This window comes from Homo sapiens, chromosome 5 (assembly GCF_000001405.40).
Source record: "Homo sapiens chromosome 5, GRCh38.p14 Primary Assembly".
Lineage (NCBI taxonomy): Eukaryota > Metazoa > Chordata > Mammalia > Primates > Hominidae > Homo > Homo sapiens.
In genome coordinates, this window is record NC_000005.10 from 80,311,087 (window position 1) to 80,333,160 (window position 22,074).

A 22,074-nucleotide genomic window follows, 5' to 3' on the forward strand; every position below is an offset into this window, starting at 1 on the left:
CTGCAACCTCCACCTCCCAGGTTCAAGCGATTCTCCTGCCTCCTCCCCAGTTCATGCGATTCTCCTGCCTCAGCCTCCCAAGTAGCTGGGATTACAGGCATGCGCCACCATGCCTAGCAAATTTTGTATTTTTAGTAAAGACGGGGTTTCTCCATGTTGGTCAGTCTGGTCTTCAACTCCCGACCTCAGGTGATCCGCCACCTCGGTCTCCCAAAATGCTGGGATTACAGGCGTGAGCCACTCACTGCACCTGGCTAGATATTTATTTTATTATTTAGGTTATAATCCAATACAATCATGTATTTTATTGCTCAAATATGTTTGATTAATTTTAATATGATGAAAAGTTTTTGGTATAATGAAAAACATTTGAGTTGGGCATGGTGGTGTATGCCTGTAATCCCAGTGACTCAAGAGGTTGAGGTGGAAGGATGGCTTGAGCCTAAGAGTTTGAGTCTGCAGTGAGCTATGATCACACCACTGCACTCCAGATCCTGACTCCAAAATATACATATATATATATAAATTTTATGTAATTAATAGTTTGTTTGGTTTGTTTTTTTTTTCCAGAGACGGAGTCTCCCTCTGTCGCCCAGGCTGGAGTGGCTCACTGCAAGCTCCGCCTCCTGGGTTCACGCCATTCTCCTGCCGCAGCCTCCTGAGTAGCTGGGACTATAGGCGCCCGCCACCACGCCTGGCTAATTTTTGTATTTTTAGTAGAGACGGGGTTTCATTGTGTTAGCCAGGATGGTCTCGATCTCCTGACCTCGTGATCCACCTGTCTCGGCTTCCCAAAGTCCTGGGATTACAGGCGTGAGCCACCGCACCTGGCCTGTTTAATAGGTTTTTTTTTTAAAACCAAAGAAGAATAACTGATTGGTTGTGACCATTCAAGGGTTAGAGTCTTGATGTTTACAAGGATTCTATGCAAGGTGTAATTTTCATCATCATTATTTGTATGATGTTTTTAGATGTAGTAGTGCATTTGTAGGTAGTCATTCTAAAGGGAAAATGGTCTGAAAATTGAAATTCTACAAAATAACTGAGGAGTACTCTTCAGAAGTGTCATGAAAAATAGGAAAAGATTGAGACCTGTCACTGAGGAAACTAGACATGACTAAATGCAGTGTGGGATCCTAGAACAGAAAAAGAACATTAGAGAGGAAACTGGTGAAACCCCAGTAAAATCTGTAGTTTATTTAGTAGCATCGTGCTGAAGTTAGTTTTGATAATTGTACTATAATTACATAAGAAGTTAAACTTAGGCGATATTGGGTGAAGGATACATGGGAACTCTCTGTACTATTTTTTCAGCTTTTCTCTAAATCTAAAATTTTTCAAAATAAAAGGTTAAAAAATGATTCCCACATAAAAAAGGATTATCTCTGAGTTAATAATATAAGCGATTATTATCAAGGGTAATTATCAGTTGCACAAGTCTTTTTTATTTTATTTTATTTTATTTAGAGACAGAGTTTTGCTCTTGTTGCCCAGGCTGGAGTGCAATGGGGCGATCTCGGCTCACTGCAACCTCTGTCTCCCGGATTCAAGCAATTCTCCTGCCTCAGTCTCCTGAGTAGCTGGGATTACAGGCATGCACCACCATGCCCGGCTAATTTTTGTATTTTTAGCAGAGACAGGGTTTCTCCATGTTGGTCAGGCTGGTCTCAAACTCCTGACCTCAGGTGATCCGCCTGCCTTGGCCTCCCAAAGTGCTGGGATTACAGGCATGAGCCACTGTGCCTGGCCTGGTTACACAAGTCTTATAGGAGAGATATCAGAATCTCCAAGGGGTACAGAGTATCTTTAATTTGGATAGAAAGCAGAGGTTTGTGCTATTATTCTGTTGTAGGCACAATGTGGTAGGCATCTGTTGGTTTTGCCAGACAGACACTCATTCCCCTATTTTCCTTTTGTGTGTGTGTGTGCATGAGATGGAGTCTTATTCTGTTGCCCAGGCTGGAGTGCAGTGGCATGATCTTGGCTCACTGCAACATCCACCTCTCAGGTTCAAGCGATTCTCCTGCCCACAGCCTCCCGAGTAGCTGGGATTACAGGTGCCCACCATCATGCTCGGCTAATTTTTGTATTTTTGTATCTTTTTTGCTATTTTTCTTAAATTATACTTTAAGTTCTAGGGTACATGTGCACAACGTGCAGGTTTGTTACATATGTATACATGTGCCATGTTGGTGTGCTGCATCCATTAACTCATCATTTACATTAGGTATATCTCCTAATGCTATCCCTCCCCCCTTCCCCCACCCCATGAGAGGCCCCAGTGTGTGATGTCCCCCTTCCTGTGTCCAAGTGTTCTCATTGTTCAATTCCCACCTATGAGTGAGAACATGCGGTGTTTGGTTTTTTGTCTCTGTGATAGTTTGCTGAGAATGATGGTTTCCAGCTTCATCCATGTCCCTACAAAGGACATGAACTTTTTTATGTCATCATTTTTTATGGCTGCATAGTATTCCATGGTGTATATGTTCCACATTTCTTAATCCAGTCTATCATTGATGGACATTTGGGTTGGTTCCAAGTCTTTGCTATTGTGAATAGTGCCGCAATAAACATACGTGTGCATGTGTCTTTATAGCAGCATGATTTATAATCCTTTGGGTATATACCCAGTAATGGGATGGCTGGGTCAAATGGTATGTCTAGTTCTAGATCCTTGAGGAATCGCCACACTGTTTTCCACAATGGTTGAACTAGTTTACAGTCCCACCAACAGTGTAAAAGTGTTCCTATTTCTCCACATCCTCTCCAGCACCTGTTGTTTCCTGACTTTTTAATGATCGCCATTCTAACTGGTGTGAGAGGGTATCTCATTGTGGTTTTGATTTGCATTTCTCTGATGACCAGTTATGATGAGCATTTTTTCATGTGTCTGTTGACTACATAAATGTCTTCTTTTGAGAAGTGTCTGTTCATATCCTTCGCCCACTTTCTGATGGGGTTGTTTTTTTTTTGTAAATTTGTTCGAGTTCTTTGTAGATTCTGGATATTAGTCCTTTGTCAGATGAGTAGATTGCAAAAAATGTCTCCCATTCTGTAGGTTGCCTGTTCACTCTGATGTTAGTTTCTTTTGCTGTGCAGAAGCTCTTTAGTTTAATTAGATCCCATTTGTCAATTTTGGCTTTTGTTGCCATTGCTTTTGGTGTTTTAGACATGAAGTCCTTGCCCATGCCCATGTCCTGAATGGTAATGCCTAGGTTTTCTTCTAGGGTTTTTATGGTTTTAGGTCTAACATTTAAGTCTTTAATCCATCGTCAATTAATTTTCGTATATGGTGTAAGGAAGGGATCCAGTTTCAGCTTTCTACATATAGCTAGCCAGTTTTCCCAGCACCATTTGTTAAATAGGGAATCCTTTCCCCATTTCTTGTTTTTGTCAGGTTTGTCAAAGATCAGATGGTTGTAGATGTGTGGTATTATTTCTGAGGGCTCTGTTCTGTTCCATTGGTCTATATCTCTGTTTTGGTACCAGTACCATGCTGTTTTAAACCAGGAAGAAGTTGAATCCCTGAATAGGCCAATAACAGGCTCTGAAATTGAGGCAATAATTAATAGCCTACCAACCAAAAAAAGTCCAGGACCAGATGGATTCACAGCCGAATTCTACCAGAGGTACAAGGAGGAGCTGGTACCATTCCTTCTGAAACTATTCCAATCAATAGAAAAAGAGGGAATCCTCCCTAACTCATTTTATGAGGACAGCATCATCCTGATACCAAAGCCTGGCAGAGACACAACAAAAAAAGAGAATTTTAGACCAATATCGCTGATGAACATCGATGCAAAAATCCTCAATAAAATCCTGGGAAACCGAATCCAGCAGCACATCAAAAAGCTTATCCACCATGATCAAGTGGGCTTCATCCCTGGGATACAAGGCTGGTTCAACATATGCAAATCAATAAAAATTAATGTTTGTATTTTTAATAGACACAGCATTTCCCCATGTTGGCCAGGCTGGTCTTGAACTCCTGACCTCAGTTGATCTGTGGCCTCAGCCTCCCCAAATGCTGGGATTACAGGTGTGAACCAACATGCCCGACCACATTCCCCTGTTTTCTAATAACTGCCCCCCATCATGCCACTTCATCCCTGGTCCAGTTCTTGGGCTGACCCACCCCAAAACTCCATGAGAACATGACCCACCAGGGCCAATCAGTGCCTTCCTTGGCACTTTTGCTATAACTATAGTGAAAGATAAATTTGTTTTCCTCTGGGATTGTTCAATTTCTAGGATATAAACCTGGAGCTACCTGATACCACCATGTAGAGAAAGAATCCTAAGAATGAAGGCACAGAGAGAGACAACTCAGAAATGGTGAGGTCCAGCCCTAATTGTATAACCTCAGCCCCTGAAACTAGGTATGTCAGAAACCATAGGTTTCTTGTTTAACTTAACCATGTTAAGCATGAGTCATTGATACTCTCAACCTTCCACCCTTTCTGCCTCAGTTTATTTGGCTTAAGCCAGTTGGAGTTTAGTCTCTGTCACTTGGTACCAAAAGAGTCATGAATGAGCTCTTCCTTTCTCCACCATCGTGGTGTGTGCTTGACTCCGCTTCTCACCATGTCTTCTCACAAGACTTTCAGGATTAAGTGATTCCTGGCTAAGAAACAAAAGCAAAATCGTCCCATTCCCCGGTGGATTCGGATGAAAACTGGTAATAAAATCACGTACAACTCCAAAAGGAGACACTGGAGAAGAACCAAGCTGGGTCTATAAGGAATTGCACATGAGACGGCACACATATTTATGCTGTCTGAAGTTCACAATCACATTACCATATCAAGCTGAAAATGTCACCACTATCTGGAGAGTTGGACGTTTTATTGGGAATATATTTTTTCTCTCTGAATCTGTTATGAACTTGTTGGTTGGCTGGGTTGAGTAATAAATATGTGAGACCTTTCATTTAAAAAAGAATAATGAATGAAACATTCTATATTTTATTCTTTTAATTAATTTATTTTTGAGACAGGGTTTCACTCCTGTCTCTGAGGCTGCAGTGTAATGGTGTGATCTCGGCTCACTGAGGTCTCTACTTCCTGGGTTCAAGTGACCCTCCCACATCAGCCTCTCGAGTAGCTGGGGCTACAAGCACACACCACCACACCCAGCTAATTTTTTGTATTTTTAGTAGAGAAGGAGTTTCACCAAGCTGTGCAGCCTGGTCTCGAACTTCTGAGCTCAAGTGATGAGCCTGCCTTGGCCTCCCAAAGTGCTGGGATTACAGTCGTGAGCCACTGTGCCCAGACTACATTCTACATTTTGATACTCACTTTGAAATTCAAATGTATTAAAGGAGAACATTGATTTTATATTTTTGTAAAGGCAATCTTGTTTTTTCTTTTTTTGAGACGGAGTCTCGCTCAGTCGCCCAGGCTGGAGTGCAGTGGCACGATCTCGGCTCACTGCAAGCTCCGCCTCCTGGGTTCACGCCATTCTCCTGCCTCAGCCTCCCGAGTAGCTGAAGGCAATCTTGTTTTAAAGAGAGAAAAATTTGGGCCAGACACAGTGGCTCATGCCTGTAATCCCAACACTTTGAGAGGCTGAGGCAGGAGGACTAGATGAGCCGAGGAGTTTGAGACCAGCCAGGGCAACATAGTGAGATCCCCATCTCTACAAAACAAACCAGAACTAGCTAGGCGTGGTGGTGCATGCCTGTAGTCCCAGCTACTCAGGAGGCTGAGGCAGGAGGATTGCTTGAGCCTTGGAGTCTGAGGCTGTAGGTGAGCCGTGATTGCCCCACTGCACTCCAGCCTGGGCTACAGAGCAAGACACTGCCCCCACCCCAGAAACAGAAAATGAAAGAAAAATTTGACACAAATTGTCACCTTAACAATTTTAGAAACAGTTTTTTGCAGTTTTTTTTTTCTTTTCTTCTTCTTCTTCTTCTTTTTTTTTTTGACAGGGTCTCATTCTGTCACCCGGGCTGGAGTGCAGTGGCATGCTTACGGCTTACTGCAGCCTCAACCTTCCGGGCTCACACCATCCTCCCACCTCAGCCTCCCAGGTAGCTGGGACTATAAACACGCGCCACCATGCCTGGCTAATTTTTGTATTTTTAGTAGAGACGGGGGTTTCACCATGTTTCCCAGGCTGGTCTTGAACTCCTGGGCTCAAGTGATCCTCCCAGCTCAGCCTCCCAGAGTGGCATGAGCCACGATGCCCAGCCAATTTTTTCTTTCTTGAGTCATTAAGCTATGTGAAACTTAGTGGATAGAAATTGTAAAACAGTCCAAATGTGTTTAACCTCCATGGTTATCCACTGGGGAATATGGGTCAATAGAGACAAGAGGACCACTCTTGTTTCTCAAAATCTATTTACCTTTCAGTTCCTAACGTAAACACATTCCAACAAAATTAACAACTGTTAATTGGAATTCATTCTAGTTGTAGGGGAAAGGAAATATTTAAATCCTTTTCAGATTTTGTTTTTGTTTTTGTTTTTTTCTTTCTTTCTTTTTTTTTTTTTTGAGATGGAGTTTCACTCTTGTTGCCCACACTGGAGTGCAGTGGTGCAATCTTGGCTCACTGCAACCTCCACCTCCTGGGTTCAAGCGATTCTCCTTCTTCAGCCTCCCGAGTAGCTGGGATTACAGGTGCATGCCACATGCCCGGCTAATTTTTTTTTTTTTAAGTAGAGACGGGGCTTCACCCTGTTGGCCAGGCTGGTCTCGAATTCTTGATCTCAGGTGATCCGCCCACCTCAGCCTCCCAAAGTGTTAGGATTACAGATGTGAGCCACCATGCCTGGCTCTTTTCAGATTAAAGAAAAAAATTATCTTCGTATCTTGACCATGCTACCTTCAAACCAGTTTTCATAAAAAAAAAAATCAAGACAAGAGCAATATTAGATTTATGTCTGACAGCATTAAAAAGCTGCAAGCACAAGAGGATGGAGAATACATTTTCTTTTTAATATCTAGGGAACATACATGAACACTGATAATCTATTAGGCCAGAAAGAAAATATCAATTTCAAAAGGTAGAAACATTACAGACATTTTCTGAATATAGTATGATAAAGCTAGAAATTAATTATCAAAAATTCCCCTGTGCTGGAGATTAAGAAATTGTCTTAAATGATGCTTGAGTCAAAGGGGGAAATAAGAACCAATGCTGAACTTCTAAGATGGAATTAAAGCATAAGGACAGTTGCTAGCATCTATGCTGTCATTGTGTGAATTAGAAAAGGAGTTCCTTTTTCAAGTAAAAGCAGAGACCAACCCTGCTGTATCTGTGAGTAGTCAGTGACGATGGCCTGGAGCCCAGCTGGCTGAAAGATGAGCATGAGGCTCTGGGGAATTAGAGCCAAAATGAGTTGGTAACTGGAGAAGAAAGAAAACATATAAATTTCTCTTCTCTAGGGGAAAAAAAACCTGAGTATGAGTTTTCCCTTAAGACTGGAAGCAAATTTCTATTAAAGTGCTTGCTAGCAAGATTTTGAAGGCCAGGAAAAAGTCATACACAAGAAATGTTTCTTTGATTGAGTTCTATATTCACAAGACCTGACTCCTAAGAACAAAAAGACAAGAAAGCAGCTTATTAAAATGCAAGAAGTTTAATAAACTTGTTACTTTCTATAACCCACTAGAGAATTTACCTGTTTCAAATGCTTTTTATTTTTTAATTTTTAATTTCTTTTTTTGAGGCAGTGTCTTGTTCTGTCACCCAGGCTGGAGTGCACTGGCACGATCTCAGCTCACTGCAACCTCCTCCTCCTGGGTTCAAGCAAGTCTCATGCCTCAGCCTTCTGAGTAGCTGGGATTACAGGTGTGTGCTGCCATGCCCAGCTAATTTTTGCATTTTTAGTAGAGATGGGGTTTTGTCATGTTGCCCAGGCTGATCCTGAACTCCTGGCCTCAAGTGATCTGCCCGCCTTAGCCTCCCAAAGTGCTGGGATTACAGGCATGAGCCACTGCACCTGGCCAATTTTTTAATTTTTTGTGATAGATCTTGCTGTGTTGCCCAAACTGGAGTGCACTAAGTAGCACAGTCATGGCTCACTGCAGCCTCAACCTCCCAGGCTCAAGTGATCCTCTCGCCTCAGCCTCCCAAGTAGCTGGGACCACAGGCACACACTACCATGCCCTTCTAATCAAACACTTTAGAAATATAACTATGTCATTTTAACAAGTTACTGTGTAGAGTGTGGAAATCTTAGGGGATCAATAAAAGAGCCAAAAAAAAAATCCCCAAATAAGTTACTGTGAAAAGTAATAGTCAAAGTTTTCTATCACCTGATGTAAATGATTTGTGAGTAAGCTTGCCAAGCCTGTCTTAAAGGATGCCTATATTCAAAGCCAAGAAAAGTCCCAGTTTGTAATTGTGTTGCTATTATAACCATTCAGATAGTCCCTTCTTGGAGCAGTAGAATATTTTTGAATGGAGGGACTCCTGACATTACTTTCCTAAAATCACAAAAGGCTGTCACTCTCAGGGTTTTGTTTTGTGTGGATAACTTTCTCTTACAGTCACATCTCTCCTAGAATGGGAGCAATAGAGCCTCTAGGTGCTATGAAAGGATGGGGACCTCACCAGAGAGGACTGGTCTCAGCAATGTCCTTAAGTGGTCAAAACATGCTGCGGTTGAGGTCAGGATTGTGAGGGGATAGAGGTGACGTAGAGAAGTAACTGAGTGCATTTAGACTGAGATGAATAGCAACCTAGAAATTAAGGAGGGGAAGAGCTATTGTAGAGCTCTTTCTGGCATGAGGAGTAGGGATAGCTCAAGGTTGGTTTTGATGCAGGAGTCACTGGGCAGGAATTTAAGAGGCTTCCATTGTGACACAAAGGAGACAGACACTATGGATAGGCCACAATGGTGCAGTGACAAAATAAAGACCTGGTTGCTAGGGCCAGAGAATAAACACCGGGTGCCTAGAGGAGAAGAGATGGAGCCCCAGCCTTGGTCCCCTTTCCCACCCTTCCTCCCCACAAGGCTGTCTGAGATGCCACCTTCCACCTAAACATCATCTCCCAAATTTTAATCCTTAACTTTGGTCTCTGACTTCTGCTTGATTCCACAGTCTCCACCCACATTTGCACAAAGGACCATCACCTGTCCTTCCTGGAATCTCTAAAGTTTTCTGCTTTCCTTCTGTCCTGATGGCCAGCTCTGCTAAGTCAGCTGAGATGCCCACCATCTCCAAAACCGTTAACCCTACTCCTGATCCTCATCAAGAATATCTGGACCCTAGGATTACCATTGCCTTATTCGAAATTGGATCACATTCCCCTTCCTCCTGGGGCTCTCTCCCTTTCCTAAAGAATAGCAGCCATCAAGTTACAGAACAACAGACTGCACAGAAGTTTAACAATCTCTTAAAAGAAATTAAAGATATTCTTAAAAATATGGCAGGTTTTGAAGAGAAGATCACAGAAGCAAAAGAACTTTTTGAGGAAACCAATATTACTGAGGATGTGTCAGCCCACAAAGAAAATATCAGAGGACTTGACAAAATCAATGAAATGTTATCAACAAACCTGCCTGTTAGTTTAGCCCCAGAGAAAGAAGACAATGAAAAGAAACAGGAGATGATATTGGAAACCAATATTACTGAGGATGTGTCAGCCCACAAAGAAAATATCAGAGGACTTGACAAAATCAATGAAATGTTATCAACAAACCTGCCTGTTAGTTTAGCCCCAGAGAAAGAAGACAATGAAAAGAAACAGCAGATGATAATGGAAAACCAGAACTCTGAGAACACCGCACAAGTTTTTGCAAGAGATTTGGTAAATCGTTTAGAAGAAAAAAAAGTCCTTAACGAAACTCAACAAAGTCAGGAAAAAGCAAAAAACAGACTTAATGTTCAAGAAGAAACTATGAAAATTAGGAACAACATGGAGCAGTTACTACAGGAAGCAGAACACTGGAGTAAACAACATACTGAGCTCAGTAAACTGATAAAATCCTATCAGAAATCTCAGAAAGACATAAGTGAAACTCTTGGAAATAATGGAGTCGGTTTCCAAACCCAGCCAAATAATGAAGTGTCGGCTAAGCATGAGCTGGAGGAACAGGTGAAGAAACTGAGCCATGACACCTATTCATTGCAGTTGATGGCAGCTTTGCTAGAGAATGAATGCCAAATCTTACAGCAGAGAGTAGAGATTCTCAAGGAACTCCATCATCAGAAACAGGGAACTCTGCAAGAGAAGCCAATTCAGATAAACTATAAACAGGACAAGAAAAATCAGAAGCCATCAGAAGCAAAGAAAGTAGAAATGTATAAGCAGAACAAGCAAGCAATGAAGGGTACATTTTGGAAAAAAGACAGATCCTGTAGAAGCCTGGATGTTTGTCTTAATAAGAAAGCTTGCAATACCCAGTTCAATATTCATGTTGCAAGAAAAGCTCTTAGGGGAAAAATGAGGTCAGCTAGCAGCCTAAGATAGAAAATACCAAAAGCAGATGAAAAGGTGAATCCTTAAAAAACTACATCTGTTACCTCCAACTTGTCAGTCATGATCAATCATCAAACCTTGGGCAGATCTGCTGGTTCAACCAAGAAAGAGCTATAGAATAAGGAGATTGACACTTATATTACTCATTACTTCAGCAGTTATGTAAGTCTGGTCTTTAATGACCATTGTGTCTACATCAAGTTCATAACTTTTCACCTTTACAATCTGCTTGTTTTTTTTGTAATTATTAGATAGACAGCCTAGAGTGAGAAGTTAAAGGTCCAATTAAGTAAAGATCTAAATAAAAACCAGAATACAAGGGAAATTTTTTTTTTCTTTATTTAATCATTGCCTGGGGGCAGGGGGAGTTCTGGGGGGAAAAAGTATATAGTGTTTTTGGCCAGGTGCAGTGGCATTTTGGGAGGCCAAGGTGGGAGGATCGCTCGAGGCCAGGAGTTTGAGACAAACCTGAGCAACACAGCAAGATCCCATCTCTAAAAAAAAAATTAAGTGAAAAAAAAGTACATAATGCTTTAGTTGTGACCTTTTAAAGCTCCCTTTCTAAATGTATGTTTCCTTTTCCTATTATACACTGAAGTGTGGGATGTGGGGGAATTTAAAAAATGCTGATAATCCAACCCTAACAAATCATTTTTCTCTTATAAATCTGCACTGGCTCTACTTTTCCTAAGGTGCCTCCCTTGCTCCTCTGCTAGTGAACTGTGGGCATACGGGGCAGCAGAGGCCCTTGGGAAGGACCCCCTCAACTTGTTTGGAAGAATAGAGACATATCTGAATTTTATTTTATTTTATTTTATATTTTATTTTATTATTTATTTATTTTATTTTATTTTTGTATTGTATTGTATTGTATTGTGTTATATATTTTTGAGGTGGAGTTTTGCTCTTGTTGCCCAGGCTGGAGTGCAATGGCACGATCTCAGCTCACTGCAACCTTCACCTCCCAGGTTCAGGCGATTCTCTTGCCTCAGCCTCCTGAGTTGCAGGATTACAGGTGCCCACACCACACCCGGCTAATTTTTCTTATTGTTTAGTAGAGATGGGGTTTCACCATGTTGGCCAGGCTGATCTCAAACTCGTGACCTCAGGTGATCCACCTGCCTTGGTCTCCCAAGGTGCTGGGATTATAGGCGTGAACCACCGTGCCGGCCTAGATTTTATTTTTGCTGGAAAAGTTTCTCCCATTCCTCCAGATATAGACGGTAGTGTTACCCAGGGGGAAAAAACAGTATCTTCTGTTAAGGGAGCTGGATTTCTGGTTCCAGAAAAGATGGAGCTGATAAATTTTCCCCTATTCTTCTCTTTAAGTAAGCTGAAACCCCTGGACATTATATATAAAGCAAATATAAGAAGATTCTGAAAGATGGAGAGAAGGAGGTAGAATGGTTAGGGACCCTGAAACTTAAGGAACAACATGGTGCTTAGTTCTCTGGGTTTTCTTTTTGCCTCTTATATATTCTGAGCTAGGTGCTGGAGAAGTCCACAACCTAAAAATGTCAATGCATGTAGACAAAAAAATTCCCCCATAAAGCCTGCTTTCTTTTGTCAACAGATGAGGAAAGGAACAGTCTGGTGAGACAGAAACCTTTTTGACAAAACTGCCCTAATCCAGCCAAATTGTATAGAAACATATTTCTACCCCCATCCCTGTTGGCAGATACTGAGTAGAGAGCCTAGACATTCATCCTTGCCTGGCAGTCATGAGGCACACCTCCCCTACTCTACTGGGATGGTGCAGAGGAGGTAAGAGTAGGGATCCTAAAGTTCTATCCTCCACCTGATGGTAACAGTGCTCTTCCCTGGCCTCCCCCAACCCCTCCAGTAGAGTGGAGTCCACGTAAGTAGCCTAGATTTCTACTCCTTTTCCCTGCTGGCATCATCAGCAGGGCCCTACTAAAAAAGAAGACTTAAGATCCAGGGTCTCCTAACAATCCCTAAAATGTCCAGAATACAATAGAAAAATCACTCATTATATTGAGAGCCAGAAAAATCTCAACTTGAATGAGAAAAGACAATTAACAGATACCAACAATGGGACAACACAGACAATAGAGTTATCTGACAAGGATTTTAAAGCAGTCATTATAAAAATGCTTCAGGCCAGGCGCGGTGGCTCACGCCTGTAATGCTAGCACTTTGGGAGCCCGAGGCGGGTGGATCACCTGAGGTCGGGAGTTTGAGACCAGCCTGACCAACATGGAGAACCCCCGTCTCTACTAAAAATACAAAATTAGCTGGGTGTCATGGCACATGCCTGTAATCCCAGTTACTCGGGAGACTGAGGCAGGAGAATTGCTTGAACCCAGGAGGCAGAGGTTGCAGTGAGCCAAGATCATGCCATTGCACTCCAGCCTGGCCAACAAGAGTGAAACTCCATCTCAAAAAAAAAAAAAAAAATGTGTCCATGAACAGTTACAAACATGAAACAAATGAAAAAATAGAAAGTATCAGCAAATAAATATAAAAGAGACATAAGTGGAAATTATGGAACTGAAAAATATAAATGATATAACCTCACCGAATGTGCTCAATAACAAAATATAGATGTCAAAGAAAAGATTCTATGAACTTGAAGATAGAACCACAGAGATGACCCAGAGAAAGTTGACAGAGAGACTGGGTGCAGTGGCTCACACCTGTAATCCCAGCACTTTGGGAGGCCGAGGCAGGTGGATCACTTGAGGTCAGGAGTTTGAGACCAGCCTGGGCAATATAGTGAGACCCCCATCTCTACAAAAATTAGCCAGGCATAGTGGGGCACACCTGTAGTCTCAGCTACTCAGGAGACTAAGGTGGGAGGATTGCTTGAACCCAGGAGTTTGAGACCAGCCTGGGCAACATAGGGAGACCCCATCTCTACAAAAACTACAAAAATTAGCCAGGCATGACAGCACACGCTTGTAGTGTCAGCTACTTGGGAGGCTGAGATAGAAAGATTGCTTGAGCCTGGGAGGTTGAGGCTGCAATGAGCCATGATCATGCCACTGCACTCCAGCCTAGGGGACCGAGTGAGCCCTGTCTCAATCAATCAGTCAATCAATCAAAAAGTTGGAGTGAGAACCCAGGATCCTCTCCATCTTGCCTTCCAGGGGTAAAGGGTTTTTTTTTTTTCCTCTTTTGTTTTTTTGAGATGGAGTTTCGCTCTTGTTGCCCAGGCTGGAGTGCAATGGCACAATCTTGGCTCATCGCAACCTCTTCCTCCCAGGTTCAAGTGATTCTCCTGCCTCAGCCTCCCAAGTAGCTGGGATTACAGGTGCCCACCACCATGCCCAACTAATTTTGTATTTTTAGTAGAGACGGGGTTTCTCCATGTTGGTCAGGCTGGTCTTGAACTCCTGACCTCAGGTGATCCGCCCGCCTTGGCCTCCCAAAATGCTAGGATTACAGGTGTGAGCCACCGTGCCCCTCCTTTTTTCTCTCTTCTTTTAGAAGGGGAGGAGGACAGCTGTCTTTCTCTTTTATATAAATGCTCAGTTTCATTTTCTCAGAATTCCTCACTTACAGTACAGACCTCATTACATAGAGGATGACATCTGGTTCTTATTGCATCCCCCCAGGGATAAGAACTAGGACAAGGGAATCCAGCACAGTAATTATCATAATAATCTGTCTCTGGTGCAAAAACTTCATGTATGCATTCAGGGCAACATAAAGATGAATATTAACAACCCAGCAAAGACAATCACAATCTCCACCACAGGTTCTATTATACATGTAGCAGGGGGCACAAGAGATTTTCATATGTTGGAAGTACCAAAATGACAACCTGAAATACTGCTCCCTACTCCTAAACCAACATTGCTTTCTATGTTTGGAATATGTATCACTTTATTCAAAAGCTAAAAGCCAACACTTTCTTGTTACAGCCCTTAGTGAAATAAAAAGAGATTGCCACACTTAAATAATATTGGGGGTCCTTAAAAAAATTACACACTTCTTTCCACCTGTCTTTCCTTCAAATGGAGATACCCTCCACACTATTCTCCAAGCACCTTGATTAATAAAGAATTGTGTAGTTCACTTGGCCAGGCACGGTGGCTCATGCCTGTAATCTCAGCACTTTGGGAGGCCAAGGCAGGTGGATCACCCGAGGGCAGGAGTTCAAGACCAGCCTGGCCAACATGGCAAAACCCCGTCTGTACTGAAAATACAAAAATTAGCTGGGTGTGGTGGTATGCACCTATAGATCCAGCTACTTGGGAGGCTGAGGCAGGAGAATCGCTTGAACCTGGGAGGCAGAAGTTGCAGTGAGCCGAGATCGCGCCACTGCCCTCCAGCCTGGAAGACAGAGTGAGACTCCATTTCAAAAAAAAAAAAATAGAAAGAAATCTTTCCTTATATCATGAATAAAAGCCTTCCAAAGTCCTTTTAATTTCTTGTCTTTCGCATTTATTTCTTTAATTTATCTTGAATTGATCCAGAAAAAATTCATCATAGTATTTAGGTTGATTGTCTATAAGTTGTACAATGGGTGTTTTCAAGTCCTTTTTGCTTGTCTATGCTTTGAGCCCTTTCTAACCTTTCCAATAAGAAAGTATGAGGCACTTTATATATATATAAAGTAAGGGTGAAATAATGGAAGAAGCATTTCACAAACAGGGAGATAATCTAAGTCTCAACTTGTTTCAGTCTGAGTTGCTTCATTTAAAAGGTGGTGACAATAATTTTCTTTTGGACCATGGACAAATGGTTCAAAGATTCTCTGGCTCCCTCAGCTGAGGTCTTATTGCTCTCTGGGAAGTAGGAATAGATTAAATGGGAGAATTAGAAACTAATCAGAAGCAAGCCTGGCTAAAAAGGAAGGGAACAATAGCAAAAACCCCAGGCACACAGGATATCTGGAAGTTGGGGTCATTGGTATGTTGCAAGTAAAAAGAAAGATAAGTATTACATTAAAAAGACAGCTATCCTAGATTAGTGTGAGGCAGAGGAGTGGATTTATCATCATTATCACATCAATATTATTATTTTTATAAAGTTATTCTACAAACTTGATTGATATAGAAAATCATTTAAATTTTTCTTACCTTAATAAAGGCCTCAGGCAGATCATCATTGGAGTGTCACAGCCAGTTGAGTGTTTTTCTTTTCTAGCAATCACACAGTCTTCCAGCGGAAACCACTGACCACTAATCCATATTTAATTAAATTTTCTCTCACAGGGAAGCATACATTGCTTTGGTTTGCACTGGTCTGTTAGGAAGCCTCAGTTTATGAGGAATTAGATACTGATATGTACATTTTGCTTTGATTTTAAATATTAAATGGTTTTTCTTATTTAAAAGAAAGTACTGTTCAATGGTCCTCAGATTTTTCTAGGGAAAGACCTTATTTTGTTTATTTGTCTCTTCTCCCTTTTTCTTGATGTATCCTATTAATCTTTAACAAAACCCAGATTTTGGCTTCGTTAATCTTCATTATTTTTAGTATTTCATTTCAATGATTTCTGGCGCCTTCTTGATTTTCCTTTTTTAAAGTTGTTTTGTTGCATTTTTTCAATTTATTTTTCTTTTATTTTGGTAAAACAATATACAACATTAAATTTACCATCTTAACTATTTAAACAATTTTTTTTATTTTTAAAATTTTTGTTTTATTTTTATTTTGAGATGAGGTCTTGCTGTGTTGGCCCAGGCTGGTCTTGAACTCCTGGATTCAAAGTATTCTCCCACCTCAGCCTCCTAAGTAGCTAGGATTAAAGGTATGTGCCACTGTGCCTAACTCATCTTAACCATTTTTAAGTATACAGTTCAGTAGTGTTAAGTATATTCATTTTCATATTATTGTGCAACGGATCTCTATAACTTTTTTTATCTTGTAAAACTCACACTCTATGCCCATTAAACACTAATTCTTCCTCTTTCCTTTCTACTTTCTGTTTCTATAATTTTGACTATTTTAGATAATTAATATGAATGGAATCATACAGTATTTGCCTTTTTGTGACTAGATTATTTCACTTAGCATAATGTCCTCCAGGTTCATCCACATTATTGCATATTGCAGGATTTCCTTCTATTTGAGACTCCTTAATATTCCATTGCATGTATATACCACATTTTCTTTATTTGTTCAAACACTGATGGACATTTGGTTTGCTTCTGCCTCTTGGCTATTGTGAATAATACTATAATGAACATGGGTATGCAAATATCTCTTCAAAGTCCAGCTTTGAATTATCCTGGTATCTACTCAGAAGTGAGATTGTTGGATCCTATGGTAATTCTATTTTTAATTTTTTTAAGAATCTCTATATTGTTTTCCATAATGGTTGCACCATTTTATATTCCCATCAGCAGTGCAATTTCTCCACATTCTTGCCAACATTTATTATTTTCTTTTTTTTTTTTCTTAAGAGACAGGGTCTTGCACTGTTGCCCAGGGTGCAGTGGCGCAACTGTAGTTCCCTGTAGTCTTCAACTCCTAGGCTCAAGCAGTCCTCCCACCTCAGCCTCCCAAAGTGCTGGGATTATAGGTGTGAGCCACTGTGCCTAGCCTTCCGTTCTTTTGATAGTAGCCATCCTAATGGGTGTAAGATGACAAGTCACTGTGGTTTTAGTGTGCATTTCTCTTACGATAATTGATGTTGAGCATCTTTTAATATGCTTGTTGATTTTTAAAACATCTTCTTTGTAGAATTGTGTATTTAAGTCCTTTGCTCATTTTGAATCAGGTTATTTCTTGTTGGTAGTATTGAGTTATAGGACTTCCTTATATACTCTGGATATTAACCCCTTATCCGATATATGACTTGCGAATATTTTTCCTCATTCCATAGGTTTCCTTGTTACTCTATTAGTTGCTTCTTTTGATACACAGAAGTTTTTCAGTTTGGTATAGTCCCATTTGTCCGTGTTCACTTTTCTTCCCTGTGCTTTGGTGTCACATTCAAGAAATCATTGTCAAATCCAATATCCTGAAGCTTTCCTGCTATATTGTCTTCTAGGAGTTTTGTGTTTTAGGTCTTACATTTAGATCTTTAATCCACTTTGACTTAATTTTTGTATATAATGTAAGAGTCCAACTTCATTCTTTTGCATATAGACCTCCGGTTTTCCCAACACCATTTATTGAAGAGAGTGCATTTTCCCCACTGCGTAGCCCTGGCACCCTTGTAAGGAATGGCTAAATTGGAATTTTTATTTAGTTGTTTATCTTTTGGGGGGATATAGTTATGAAAAGTAATCTAATTAAATAAGTAATGTAATTTTAAAGAATAAAATGAATAAACCAAATTTACACGTACCGGTGTGGAGAGATGTTTTGACATCTTTTGTCAGAACTTTGGACCGATATCAATTATGATACCTAATTAATCAAAGGAAAATTCTTAGAAATTTGAAAACTTTAGATGAAGAACTTTCATAAAACTAACCACCTAGTTTTACATACCTTAAATGAATATTATAGTTACAAAATTATTTTTACAACAGTAGTATTTAGCATTTCATGTTGTCTTTCTTATTATATATTTTCATTAAGAGTAAAATACCCAATATTTTAATATATTTTTATTTTTTTAAATTTTATTTATTTGTTTTTCTGAGATGGAGTCTTGCTCTGTCACCCAGACTGGAGTGCAGCAGCGTGATCTTGCCTCACTACAACCTCCGCCTCCCAGGTTCAAGTGATTCTCCCACCTCAGCCTCCCAGGTAGCTGGGACTACAAGTGCCCGCCACCACACCTGGCTAATCTTTGTATTTTTAGTAGAGACGGGGTTTCACCATGTTGTCCAGGCTGGTCTCGAACTCCTGGTTCGAGGTGATCCACCCACCTCAGCCTCCCAAAGTGCTGGGATTACAAGCGTGAGCCACCATGCCTGACCTTAACATATTTATTTTTAAAGTTAGGTGCTTTTTTTTTTTTTTTTTTTTAAGGGAGACTCCTCCAAAAAAAAAAAAAAAGAGAGAGAATGGCAATTTTAATCAGTCACTGTATTCTAAAAATATTGGTATCATTTATAGTCAGATTTAGATTTTCCAATAGTGTTTTCTGAACACTGAGTTTATTGATGAAAACTATTTTTAAAAATTATTTATTTATTTATTTATTTATTTTTGAGACCGAGTCTCACTCTGTCACCCAGGCTGAAGTGCAGTAGCGTGATCTTGGCTTACTGCAAGCTCTGCCTCCCGGGTTCACGCCATTCTTCTGCCTCAGCCTCCCGAGTAGCTATTTTTTAAAAGGTTATATTAACACTTCTAACATGTGCATCAAATGTACCTGTAAGCTCCTTTATGATAGGATGTGGGTGTTTTCAAGGGAAGCATTGTAGGTATAGTGGCATCTTCTGTTTACCTAGCACAATTCTTATTTCTGAAAAGCAGCTACTCAAAAATCTGATTTTCTTAGCTAGCTTCCAGTCATTAGTTCTAGTATCTGCCTTGAAATCTTCTGAGTTCATGCATTTGTTATCAGCACATGAGCCTTACCCTGTTATAAGGTAAGTTTTTATACTCTTATTTTATTGCCAAGTGATGTTTGGCTTCTTAAAAGTTTCTACTGGAAAGTGTGTCCTGGAAGCTAAATCTAGTTGTTGGCTCTGGTTAACAAATGAAATACTTGCCAGTAATTTGTAATACTTTTTTCCACTTAATTTCAAAATATTTCAAGTCATTTCTTTGTGTATTTCAGATATTATAAGGATGCATAATCCCCTGTGGTACTTTTTTTTTTGAGACGGAGTCTCGCTCTGTTTCCCAGGCTGGAGTGCAGTGGTGTGATCTCAGTTCACTGCAACCTCCGCCTCCCAGGTTCAAGCGATTCTCCTGCCTCAGCCTCCCGAGTAGCTGGAACTACAGGTGCGCACCACCACACCCAGCTAATTTCTGTATTTTTAGTAGAGACATGGTTTCACCGTGTTGGCCAGGATGGTCTTGATCTCTTTTTTTTTTTTTGTAACAGAGTTTTGCTCTTGTTGCCCAGGCTAGAGTGCAATGGCACCATCTTGGCTCACTGCAACCTCTGCCTCCTGGGTTCAAGCAATTCTCCTGCCTCAGCCTCCCAAGTAGCTGGGATTACAGGCATGCGCCACCACACCTGGCTAATTTTGCATTTTTAGTAAAGGTGGGGTTTCTCCATGTTGGCCAGGCTGGCCTCAAACTCCTGACTTCAGGTGATCCACCTGCCTCAGCCTCCCAAAGTGCTGGGATTACAGGCGTCCACCGGGCAGGTCTTGATCTCTTGACCTCGTGATCTGCCCGCCTCAGCCTCACAAGCTGATACTTGTTGTTTTTAACCAAAGTTTTAATGAAAAAGAAAAGACATTAAATTTTTTTTTAAACAGGAGGGTTTGGGCATGGAGCTGGTTGATCTTAAAAATCCTAACCCAGCTGGGCGTGGTAGCCCACGCCTATAATCCCAGCACTTTGAGAGGCCGAGACAGATGGATCACCTGAGGTCAGGAGTTCGAGACCAGCCTGGCCAACATGGTGAAATCCCCGTCTCTACTAAATATACAAAAAATTAGCTGGGCATGGTGGCAGGCGCCTGTAATCCCAGCTACTTGAGAGGCTGAGGCAGGAGAATCACTAGAACCCGGGAGGCGGAGGTTGCAGTTAGCCAAGATCGCACCATTGCACTCCAGCCTGGGCAACAAGAGCGAAACTCCGTCTCAAAAAAAAAAAAAAAAAATTCCTAACCCATTCATTCCCGTCAAGCTGTCCAAAACTAGTAACTGGAAAGGTCCCGTGATGCTGGTCTCTAAACATCGAACACAAAGACTAGAATAATAGAATTATCTGGTATTTTCCCTTTCCAGAAAATTCCATCTTCAATTGGGGTCTATGGGTTCAACAGCCATATTTATGAACCAAAAGTTAGGACACATAGTCTGGTACAGGGACAATGGATGGTAGGAAAAATAGCCAGGATCTAGCTGTTGAAACTGCAGCCCTCTCGACTCTAATACTCAAGGGATTAAAAGAATCCGGCCCCAGAAGTTTTAGATACAAAAATAGTAACAACCCAATTGAATTTTACTGCATTTAAAAAACATAATTATTTCCAAATCTACTGAGCAACTGAACAGTCTTCAGTGACGCCTACGGTCGCTGGGATTCGAAGACTCTCACTCCCAGGAGCGACGGGCTTTTTTATGCCTATGGGATTTATCTCGGCTCCTACTTCGAGTTCTGTGACTACGCCCTTCGGAACGCCAGTTGTACGGGCTAGAAAGTGTGTCTGAGCTCTGCCCTCTGTCCCTATCCCCGGTTGTTTCTTCTCTTGCCTCCTTCCTGCTTGAGGACTTGTGCTCGTGCTTGGGTTTCTCCTTCTTCAGCTCCCTCTCTAGGTCCTCTGCTCCACCGTAGCAGGCAGTCCTGGCTTCGGGGAGCTTCCGCCTCTCCCTGGGCTGTGACTTCTGAGCTCTCTCCGAGTTCTTGCTGCTGTGCTTCTTAGGGCCAGGGTCATCTTTTTCCTTTACTGTCTTGCTTGTGGGTGACGAAGAGGATGGTTGCTCTGCCTGTACCAACCGATCAGTTTTCTCTTTTTCTTTCTTTCTTTTCTTTTTTTCCTTTTTCTCTTTCTTGTGCTTTTTTATTGGTTTTTCATCTTCAGAGCTCTCAGACGAACTTGATGAGTAGGTATGAGGCCCACAGGAGCCCTTCTGGAGCTCTTTGGTCGCATCATCCATTTCTTCCGAGTTCTTAGGAGCCCGATAGTTAGACACATGATCCACTCGGATAGTTCTTCCTTTGATCTTGATCCCATTAAAATTGTCAACGGCCAGAATTGTGCTCCTCTGGTCTTCATAGCAGAGGAAACAGAATCCTTTGGATTTCCCAGTCTTCTTGTCCCGCACAAGATTAATGTTAACAATCTCCCCATATTGTGAGAATACACAGATGATGTCCCCTTCAGTCAGTTCATAAGGAAGCCCTCCCAGGAAGATCCAGGCGCTGTCCTTGTACTCGGAGTGCCAGGACACCTTATCGGCCACCCCAAGCTGGACCTCTCCCTCATTCAGCTTGTTGATCAGCTTCACCTTAGTTAAAGCATTCATCTCCGCGGGCTCGCGCTCAACGTTCAAGTATCAGTGCCGGGGCGAGGCAGCCCCCGTGTGATACTTCGTGGCGCACGCGCGCGCGCGTGTGTGTGTATGTGTGTGTTTTACCAACCTTATTGAGTTATAATTTACATAAAGTAAAACACATCTATTTAAATGTGTGGTCTTATGTAACCTTCACTACCATAGTTAAGATAGTAAACATTTCCAGGCCGGGCGCGGTGGCTCACGCCTGTAATCCCAGCACTTTGGGAGGCCGAGGCTGGCGGATCACCTGAGGTCAGGAGCTTGAGACCAGCCTGGCCAACATGGTGAAACCCCGTCTCTACTAAAAACACAAAGAATTAGCTGGGCGTGGTGGCGGGCGCCTGTAATCCCAGCTACTCAGGAGGCTGAGACAGGAGAATCACTTGAACCTGGGAGGTGGAGGTTGCAGTAAGCCGAGATCGTGCCACTGCACTCCAGCCCGGGCAGCAAGAATGAAACTCCATCTCAAAAAAAAAAAAAAAAAAAAAAGGATAGTAAACATTTCCTTTACCATAGAAACTTCTCTCATGCCTCTTTTCCACTCCCTGTCCCAGGCAATTACTAATTTGATTTCTATCAATTATAGGTT

General features: G+C 41.5%; 1 protein-coding gene and 2 pseudogenes across 1 annotated transcript; 2 read left to right on the plus strand and 1 right to left on the minus strand.

The window, feature by feature from the left end:
* On the plus strand, positions 4,536-4,935 carry RPL39P20 (ribosomal protein L39 pseudogene 20; annotated as a pseudogene).
* On the plus strand, positions 8,916-10,756 carry SPZ1 (spermatogenic leucine zipper 1). The gene has a single exon (NM_032567.4). It carries the CDS (start codon positions 9,130-9,132, stop codon positions 10,420-10,422), a length of 1,293 nt encoding a protein of 430 aa, NP_115956.3. The 5' UTR covers positions 8,916-9,129; the 3' UTR covers positions 10,423-10,756.
* Positions 19,694-21,497, minus strand: RBMX2P5 (RBMX2 pseudogene 5; annotated as a pseudogene).

Bases quoted from the DNA above. Each gene is read 5' to 3' on its own strand.
- SPZ1 (NM_032567.4), top strand. From the start codon at position 9,130: ATGGCCAGCTCTGCTAAGTCAGCTGAGATGCCCACCATCTCCAAAACC.